This window comes from Homo sapiens, chromosome 2 (assembly GCF_000001405.40).
Source record: "Homo sapiens chromosome 2, GRCh38.p14 Primary Assembly".
NCBI lineage: Eukaryota > Metazoa > Chordata > Mammalia > Primates > Hominidae > Homo > Homo sapiens.
In genome coordinates this window covers 175,475,090-175,485,309 of record NC_000002.12, presented here as the reverse complement: position 1 = coordinate 175,485,309, position 10,220 = coordinate 175,475,090, and the positions used below count along the sequence as shown (strand labels likewise).

Genomic DNA, 10,220 nt, shown 5'->3' with positions numbered 1-10,220 from the left:
CTAGAACTCAGGATTAAGAATCTCACTCAAAGCCGCTCAACTACATGGAAACTGAACAACCTGCTCCTGAATGACTACTGGGTACATAACGAAATGAAGGCAGAAATAAAGATGTTCTTTGAAACCAACGAGAACAAAGACACCACATACCAGAATCTCTGGGATGCATTCAAAGCAGTGTGTAGAGGGAAATTTATAGCACTAAATGCCTACAAGAGAAAGCAGGAAAGATCCAAAATTGACACCCTAACATCACAATTAAAAGAACTAGAAAAGCAAGAGCAAACACATTCAAAAGCTAGCAGAAGGCAAGAAATAACTAAAATCAGAGCAGAACTGAAGGAAATAGAGACACAAAAAACCCTTCAAAAAATCAATGAATCCAGGAGCTGGTTTTTTGAAAGGATCAACAAAATTGATAGACCGCTAGCAAGACTAATAAAGAAAAAAAGAGAGAAGAATCAAATAGACACAATAAAAAATGATAAAGGGGATATCACCACCGATCCCACAGAAATACAAACTACCATCAGAGAATACTACAAACACCTCTACGCAAATAAACTAGAAAATCTAGAAGAAATGGATACATTCCTCGACACATACACTCTCCCAAGACTAAACCAGGAAGAAGTTGAATCTCTGAATCGACCAATAACAGGCTCTGAAATTGTGGCAATAATCAATAGTTTACCAACCAAAAAGAGTCCAGGACCAGATGGATTCACAGCCGAATTCTACCAGAGGTACAAGGAGGAACTGGTACCATTCCTTCTGAAACTATTCCAATCAATAGAAAAAGAGGGAATCCTCCCTAACTCATTTTATGAGGCCAGCATCATTCTGATACCAAAGCCGGGCAGAGACACAACCAAAAAAGAGAATTTTAGACCAATATCCTTGATGAACATTGATGCAAAAATCCTCAATAAAATACTGGCAAACCGAATCCAGCAGCACATCAAAAAGCTTATCCACCATGATCAAGTGGGCTTCATCCCTGGGATGCAAGGGTGGTTCAATATACGCAAATCAATAAATGTAATCCAGCATATAAACAGAGCCAAAGACAAAAACCACATGATTATCTCAATAGATGCAGAAAAAGCCTTTGACAAAATTCAACAACCCTTCATGCTAAAAACTCTCAATAAATTAGGTATTGATGGGATGTATTTCAAAATAATAAGAGCTATCTATGACAAACCCACAGCCAATATCATACTGAATGGGCAAAAACTGGAAGCATTCCCTTTGAAAACCGGCACAAGACAGGGATGCCCTCTCTCACCGCTCCTATTCAACATAGTGTTGGAAGTTCTGGCCAGGGCAATCAGGCAGGAGAAGGAAATAAAGGGTATTCAAATAGGAAAAGAGGAAGTCAAATTGTCCCTGTTTGCAGACGACATGATTGTTTATCTAGAAAACCCCATTGTCTCAGCCCAAAATCTCCTTAAGCTGATAAGCAACTTCAGCAAAGTCTCAGGATACAAAATCAATGTACAAAAATCACAAGCATTCTTATACACCAACAACAGACAAACAGAGAGCCAAATCATGGGTGAACTCCCATTCACAATTGCTTCAAAGAGAATAAAATACCTAGGAATCCAACTTACAAGGGATGTGAAGGACCTCTTCAAGGAGAACTACAAACCACTGCTCAAGGAAATAAAAGAGGAGACAAATAAATGGAAGAACATTCCATGCTCATGGGTAGGAAGAATCAATATTGTGAAAATGGCCATACTGCCCAAGGTAATTTACAGATTCAATGCCATCCCCATCAAGCTACCAATGACTTTCTTCACAGAATTGGAAAAAACTACTTTAAAGTTCATATGGAACCAAAAAAGAGCCCGCATCGCCAAGTCAATCCTAAGCCAAAAGAACAAAGCTGGAGGCATCACACTACCTGACTTCAAACTATACTACAAGGCTACAGTAACCAAAACAGCATGGTACTGGTACAAAAACAGAGATATAGATCAATGGAACAGAACAAAGCCCTCAGAAATAATGCCGCATATCTACAACTATCTGATCTTTGACAAACCTGAGAAAAACAAGCAATGGGGAAAGGATTCCCTATTTAATAAATGGTGCTGGGAAAACTGGCTAGCCATATGTAGAAAGCTGAAACTGGATCCCTTCCTTACACCTTATACAAAAATCAATTCAAGATGGATTAAAGATTTAAACGTTAAACCTAAAACCATAAAAACCCTAGAAGAAAACCTAGGCATTACCATTCAGGACATAGGCGTGGGCAAGGACTTCATGTCCAAAACACCAAAAGCAATGGCAACAAAAGACAAAATTGACAAATGGGATCTAATTAAACTAAAGAGCTTCTGCACAGCAAAAGAAACTACCATCAGAGTGAACAGGCAACCTACAACATGGGAGAAAATTTTTGCAACCTACTCATCTGACAAAGGGCTAATATCCAGAATCTACAATGAACTCAAACAAATTTACAAGAAAAAAACAAACAACCCCATCAAAAAGTGGGCGAAGGACATGAACAGACACTTCTCAAAAGAAGACATTTATGCAGCCAAAAAACACATGAAGAAATGCTCATCATCACTGGCCATCAGAGAAATGCAAATCAAAACCACTATGAGATATCATCTCACACCAGTTAGAATGGCAATCATTAAAAAGTCAGGAAACAACAGGTGCTGGAGAGGATGCGGAGAAATAGGAACACTTTTACACTGTTGGTGGGACTGTAAACTAGTTCAACCATTGTGGAAGTCAGTGTGGCGATTCCTCAGGGATCTAGAACTAGAAATACCATTTGACCCAGCCATCCCATTACTGGGTATATACCCAAATGAGTATAAATCATGCTGCTATAAAGACACATGCACACGTATGTTTATTGTGGCACTATTCACAATAGCAAAGACTTGGAACCAACCCAAATGTCCAACAATGATAGACTGGATTAAGAAAATGTGGCACATATACACCATGGAATACTATGCAGCCATAAAAAATGATGAGTTCATATCCTTTGTAGGGACATGGATGAAATTGGAAACCATCATTCTCAGTAAACTATTGCAAGAACAAAAAACCAAACACCGCATATTCTCACTCACAGGTGGGAATTGAACAATGAGATCACATGGACACAGGAAGGGGAATATCACACTCTGGGGACTGTGGTGGGGTCGGGGGAGGGGGGAGGGATAGCATTGGGAGATATACCTAATGCTAGATGACACATTAGTGGGTGCAGCGCACCAGCATGGCACATGTATACATATGTAACTAACCTGCACAATGTGCACATGTACCCTAAAACTTAGAGTATAATAAAAAAAAAAAAAAAAAAAAAAAAAAACATTTATTTTGCACTCTGAGTGATATCAAAATACCTTTAGAGCAGTTAACTTAGTTTGTATATATTCATTTGAGTGACAATAATGTTTTGTCATGCCCATTAGACTGTTTCTAGTTTCAATCACAATTATATCACCAGCCTTAATACTCAATAAATACTTGTTAATTAAATGGATCAATGAATAAATTTTAAAAAGCAGACTGATATGTTTTGCTAAAGTTACTTGTCAGTCAAATGCTCTTTTTTAAAAAATTATATCTGAATCATACCTGAATCCTGAAAGTCTGATTTCAGAGTTTAGAATTTTTCAGAATTTATAATTTTTTTCATTTTTGAAAAGTTAATACTCTATACATATTTTATATCATATGACATCTACATCAGGGCCTGGGCACAACCCAGTAATCAAACACATTAACATTTCGGCACTAAAATGCACGAACAGTGACACGGAAAGGAGTTTTCAGGACCACAAATAACATCATAGAGGTTCAGGTCAAATTGGCTTCCGAAGGAGTTATGGAAATGCTTACTATTTTCAGGGATTTGGGATTATAGAATTATGGATTAAAATGTTAGAGCTGTAATTTCTAAAAGTGTGGAAATTTGAATCCATGACTCCTTGGTCCCTAATATATTTTATTCACAGTATGGTGCACATTACTCACACTTCTTTCCTTGATCTCCAGGAAAAACTCCACTAGTTTATGAAACTTATTTATATAGACCAGTGATTCTCCAATTACCATGACGCCATGGAAATATACAAGCTATTCCTAGGAGAGGCATAGCTAAATCTTAACCAATAATAAAAACTTCAAAAATTAAAAACTGGCATTCATCATACAAGAGTCTTACAAAGTATTTATTTGCAATTCATTTGGGGTAAAATTGCAGATACTTCCAAAATATAAATTTTGTTAATATTAATGTGCTGATCATCTATTTCTTAAAAGGGCTGTTCTTTACAGAGGAGGAGGGAAATGTTAAAGTTGATTTTGGAGATTTATAAAAGGTTCACAGCATCTCGTGAATACTTAAATACAAAAAAAAAAAAAGAATCAGTTATTTTCAAGACCATGAGAAGGTCTAGGCTCTCAGAGCTTCTCTAACATGGCCCTCAGGCTCAAGCAAGACTAATGTTAGAGAAATCATACTAACAAGGTATTCAAAACCCGATCCTTTAGGAATGTTTAAAATGCAAATGTCCAAATACATACCACACACATGAGACTCCTCTCCCTCCAACAATGTCAACACAAGGTACCACTATGGCCAAGGCCATGTCTTCTTTTTTCATCCTTAGGTGTAACAGATGATTTAAATGATATCCTTTACTGACTCTTGCAGATTGCACATGATTAAGTGTGCTGACTCAGAGGTCACATTGTCCAGTGAAAACCATAGCTTAGACATTTGTGTGCTGGATGCTATAAGAAAGTTATTTAACTTCTCTATGTCTCAGTTTACCCATCTGTAGAATGTGAGAAATAATAGAGTCTAATTCATGTGGTCATTGTGGGAATTAAATAATACTTAGCATGGGTCTGACTTATGGTAAAGGATCTATTCTTCTAAACTATTGTTATTCCAAAGTTAAGCTAATTCTGAGGATCAGGCACTTCCTCAGACATTAACAATTACCTGAACAGTCAGCAATGGTTTATGCTAGGACACAATAACACCACAAATGAGGCTCATAATAAACCTTCTGACACTTTTCAGTACCTTGTTTCTATTGCTTATACTTTTTATTGCTTAAGACCAAAACAATGGATTAATTCATTTTGTGATTTCTTTTTCTGAATAATATTTACTAAATTATAATAATATTTACCAGCTATCTCCAACTTACAGACAGGTTGAGTTCCAAAAATTTTATTTGCATGTGAGTCACAATTTGAAATACATTTTTTCATAGAAGTAATGTTTTTAAAGAGGTTAAGTGCCCAGGCTGACACAATAAAAGGCAGTGAAGTGGGAATCCATGCCTAGGCTAGAGGGTCTCAGACAAATCAAATAGCTCAACAAATCCACCTGTTAATCTGCCCAGATGCCTCAGTGGGCAGAAGTGAGCAGTTTTTGGTGGCTGAACCTTTACATGTTCTTCATCTAAGAGAGAAAGAAATCGAAAGTCAGAGAAAGGCTTAAGGGGTGCCACAGCTTCCAGTCACCAGCTCAGAGGGGAGGGACATGAGATACAAAATAGAGACAGTCACTGTTGAGATGGTTAGGAATTTCTGGAACCTTCCTAACTTCCCTGTGTTTGCATTGCTCTATATCAGTTTTCTCACAGTGATTATAATGTAGGATGCTCCTTAAAACCAAATACTCTTGAGAAAGGGGCTAGAAAGGGGAGTCTATTACACCCCAAAGTTAATAGAGGGCTAGGGATAAGTGGGGAGGGGAGGAGAGAACCCGAAAGCATAAAGGGAGAGGTGTCCATTATAAAGAGAAAATGAAAGCGGGCTGGGTGAATCCGTGTCACCGCCCTGCCACACATGGTGTTGTGGGAAAAGACACTGACTTTCATGGAGGATGAAACTTATTTCCCTCTGTTGGTAATTTAAGAGATAAAAATAAAGGCATGGGGTCACTTGAGACTCATCATCAGTAACATTAAGTATCCACATTGGCGTAAGAGAAGATTCTTACTTTGGTTTTCAACCTTGGCTGCACATTAGAATCATCTGGGAAGATTAAAAAATTCCAATGCCCAAGGTACACCTCAGACTGATTCCTCCAGAATCCGGAGACCAAGGCATCAGAAGTTTTTAAAGCCTCAGGGGGATTCCAAAGAACAGCCAGGTTTGAAACCATTTTAAATACCAACCACTCTCAGATGTCCTAAACTGAAGAATAAGGCGCTGTGGCCCCCACAGAGCTCTGGGACACCCTAAACTTAAAGCCTCTCACCCAAATCCATGTTTATAATTAACTTCCTTTTTCCCAAAAAAATCTGGGAGAGAATTTGAGAATAGATTTAATGAAGCTGATTATTCACATTATGATTTCATTTGCTAAGAAAGAAAAAATAACTTCAATAACAGTATTCATTGAAACCGATGGCAAAATACTTCCAACATTTTATGTGCAAACTCAAAGACCGTCCTAGAGATGAATTTGACTCACCATGTGCCAGGCAATGTGCTGGATGCTGAGGATAAAATAATCACAAATGTAGACAGAACCCTGCCAAAATGCGGCTTAGAGTCAATGATGACAACAAGAGTTGACAGGGGAACCTGTGAGATGCAGGCTGAGCACCCGCCCAGCCGAGGCTGCCAATAAGGAAAGAGCTATACATGTGATGTCTGAGTCACCTGTTTGAAATCCTTAGGCTTTTTGAGTCACAGATATCAATCCCACGAGTCCAATATCACTCAGTGGGTGTGTCAGCATGCCAACAGCTGAATGATACATACTAATCAATGTACCTTGTTTGCCGCAGCTCACCCTTTGATGGGTCTTTTATGCCTAGGAATGTGGGCATGAGAGGCAACTTAGTATGTGCCTGACTGCACACGGCTACTTGCTTGCCCCACCCCTAGGATAATTCTCACTATCACCTGCTGTTTCATTAAATTACTTGGAATTATCCCTCTGCCAATCTACATTTTTAGGAGAGAGGATTGGTAAATGCTGCCTTCGGAGAAATCCGGCTGTGTAATTAGTGTCTCTGCATCAAGTCTCTTCCTAGTTGCTTTAGGGGCTTAGGAACTGAGTGTCTCACCATGCTGTAAGTATGTCATCTGTTTCTTTTTTGACAAGGTTACTGTCTCTGGTGTCTACTGGCACAATCCCCAAGCTTCCTGGATCTTCTGTCATTAACCATCAGTGGGGTCTGACTGCAGAAAATGCAGACCACATTAAGCGGCAAAAATAGCCCTGGTCTTGAAAAAGTCTCTGCATAGAAAACAAGTTGCTCTAAATGATTCTGTTAATATGTCTGACATCCCATGCCTCTCTTCTCCTGCTGGTGGCTGCAGAGGATTCTGGCCACATGAAACACACGCTCCCCCTTCTCCCGGTCCTCTCCCAGTCCTCTCCCAACAAAGGGCTCCACAGACACCTTATGATCATCAGTCCTGAGGTTGCAGGGAGACACAGATTTCTTCAAAGACATGTTCCTGTCTCAAAAAACTATGATGAGAGGAGAAAATATGCAAAAGACAGGTAGCAAGTGAACCAAGCAATTGTCAGGTAAGTCATATCTTTACAGTCTCAAAGCTGCTTACAAGCATTTGCTCATTTAGAGAACAATCTTATAGGCTAAGCATATCCAAACAAAGCGATGAAAGAAACAAAGCTCATTGGTACAAAGTGGGTTTTTTTGTTTGTTTGTTTTTCTGGTTTCTACAAGCAAACACCCAAATCCTGGCTTTAAACCAGTTCTAAGCAATTCAGGAATTTCTGTTCCATAGTTCTTAAAGGAACTGAACTGGTGACTTCACCAGGCCCACAAAACCACTGGTCAAGAACCACTGTGTTCCAACTTGTGAAATGAACTCTATAAAGTTAGTAGTGTTGGTTTTCGGATCTTTGCTCCCGGAGCCATGCCTTGCCTTTCCTGTGCTCTGCTCCTTTTCACAGAGAACTAAGGGCACTGCATTTCCGGGGTGCCTGGGCCCTCCAGTTCTGGCAGAGAATCAACCAGGGGTAGGCTCTGGCAGAGGAAGAGGTCAAAGTGTTGGTCCTCCTCTCTGTTTCAGGTAGCATCTCGTCAGCGCCCGTTTTCTACTTGGCTTCATGTCTTGCCAAACAGCCCTGTCCTTTGCGGCCCCAGCTCCCATGGGACAGGTCCACAGCAGTTCAGATCCGCTGGGTGGCCTCTAATCACGTGCTGCTCCAGTGACACCATCTCCTTCCTCTTTTCATCCTACCAGCCCCAGAGGAAAAAATGTATTTCCGTACTTGTTTGTCTTTAGATTATTTCTGCTGGGTTTCTCAACTCTTTCTTTACCCATGAAACTATTTTCTTGTGACAGATTTCTTGTTTTGAGGTATCTAGGGTAGTTCATTTCATTGGCCGATATAGAGTATAATATTATAACTTAATCATGTTATCTATAATAAATATACATCTACCTAAAATAACTTAAAAGAATTCCTGTTATGGATTGAATTGGGTCTCCCCGAAATTCGTATGTTGAAATCCTAAACCCAGTACCTCCGAATGTGACTGTATTTGGAGAGAGGATCTTTAAAATGATAATAAAGCTAAAATGAAGTTATTAGGGTGGGCCTTAGTTCTTAAAGTATCCTTATAAGAAGAGGCGATTAGGACACAGACACACACAGAGGGAATATTATGTGAGGACACAGGGAGATGACAGCCAGTAAGGAGAGAGGCCTCAGAAAAAAACAACCCAACTGACCCTGGACCTTGACCTTGGACTTCTAAACTCTAGAACTGTGAGGAAATAAACTTCTCTTGTTTAAGCCAGTCAGCCTGTGGCTCATTAATAATACCAGCAAACAAATACAATTGCTTATCTCTGAAATTTAGGATAAACTACTTACCTCTAAGCCTCAATGTCCTCCTATGTAAAATAAGGGTAATTTTAATGCCCAGGTTGTTGTGAGAATTAATGGAGAGAAGCTTAATATAGTACTTGCCACAGTGCCATAAACATGCGGTATCTTTTTTTTTAAGACAGAGTTTTGCTCTTGTCCCCCATGCTGAAGTGCAATGGCATGATCTCGGCTCACTGCAACCTCCACCTCCTGGGTTCAAGCGATTCTCCTGCCTCAGCCTCCTGAGTAGCTGCGATTACAGTGGGTACCACCACGCCCACCTAATTTTTGTATTTTTAGTAGAGACAGGGTTTCACCATGTTGGCCAGGCTGGTCTCGAACTCCTGACCTCAAGTGATCCACCCACCTTGGCCTCCCAAAGTGCTAGGATTACAGGCATGAGCCACCATACCCCGCCTCATTTTGAATATTCATGTAGATGTATAACTAAAATATGCTTGTAAAATGTTAACTCTGGAGCCCGCCTCTCTAGGTATTAGGGAGGTCTTTAGATTGGACTGGCTGGATAATGTACTCACCTAGGTTTTTTGAGTTCTCCTCAGTCATGTCTTGATTTCAGCTGCAAAGAGTTGGTTTTTTTTGGTTGCTGTTGGTGGTGGTGGGTTTTTTTTGTTGTTGTTGTTGTTTTTATTGAGACGGAGTCTTGTTCTGTCACCCAGGCTGGAGTGCAGTGGTGCGATCTCAGCTCACTGCAGCCTCTGCCTCCTGGGTTCCCGCAATTCTCCTGCTTCAGCATGCTGGGTAGCTGGGATTACAGGCACACACCACGACGCCTGGCTAATTCTTGTATTTTTAGTAGAGATGGGGTTTCACCATGTTGGCCAGGCTGGTCTCAAACTCCTGACCTTAGGCGATCCGCCCGCCTTGGCCTCCCAAAGTGCTGGGATTACAGGCATGAGCTATAGCGCCCGGCCGCAAAGAGTTTTTTAGGTTGTTTTCTTAAAGCTTAAACATTACGCCTCAGCTACAAATTCAGTAACTTTTTTTTGCTCTTGCTACTGCTACTTTAATAGTGTTTCTTGTTGCTTCTGTGTGAGTCCATTCAAGGAAGTAATTGCACTGTGACTTTCTGCAATACCCATGACTACGCACTGGGTCAGTTTGGGGGCCAGCCAAAGAAAGCTTTCCCACTGCTTGCTGCCTGGAAGACCCCCCAGGACTCAAATCCAGCTCTTCCAAGAATTGTTGCCTACAAATAGTCACACCATGGAGATAAGAAGAATCACCTTCCCTGGAACCATCTGCACCTGCAGCCAAGCTTAGCCAAACCACCTGGGCCGCAGCTTATCTGTGTTAGCTACAGCCTCCCTCTTCTGACACTTTT

The 10,220-nt window shown here is 40.3% G+C and overlaps 1 annotated feature.

The window, feature by feature from the left end:
- Window positions 6,623-7,822: an enhancer, noted in NCBI's record as "CDK7 strongly-dependent group 2 enhancer chr2:176342216-176343415 (GRCh37/hg19 assembly coordinates)". NCBI's record gives its function as "activates an origin of replication core promoter dependent on BRD2, BRD4, P300/CBP, MED14 and CDK7 cofactors, with strong dependence on CDK7, by STARR-seq in HCT116 cells {active_cell/tissue: HCT116}" and the evidence as "EXISTENCE:reporter gene assay evidence [ECO:0000049][PMID:35650434]".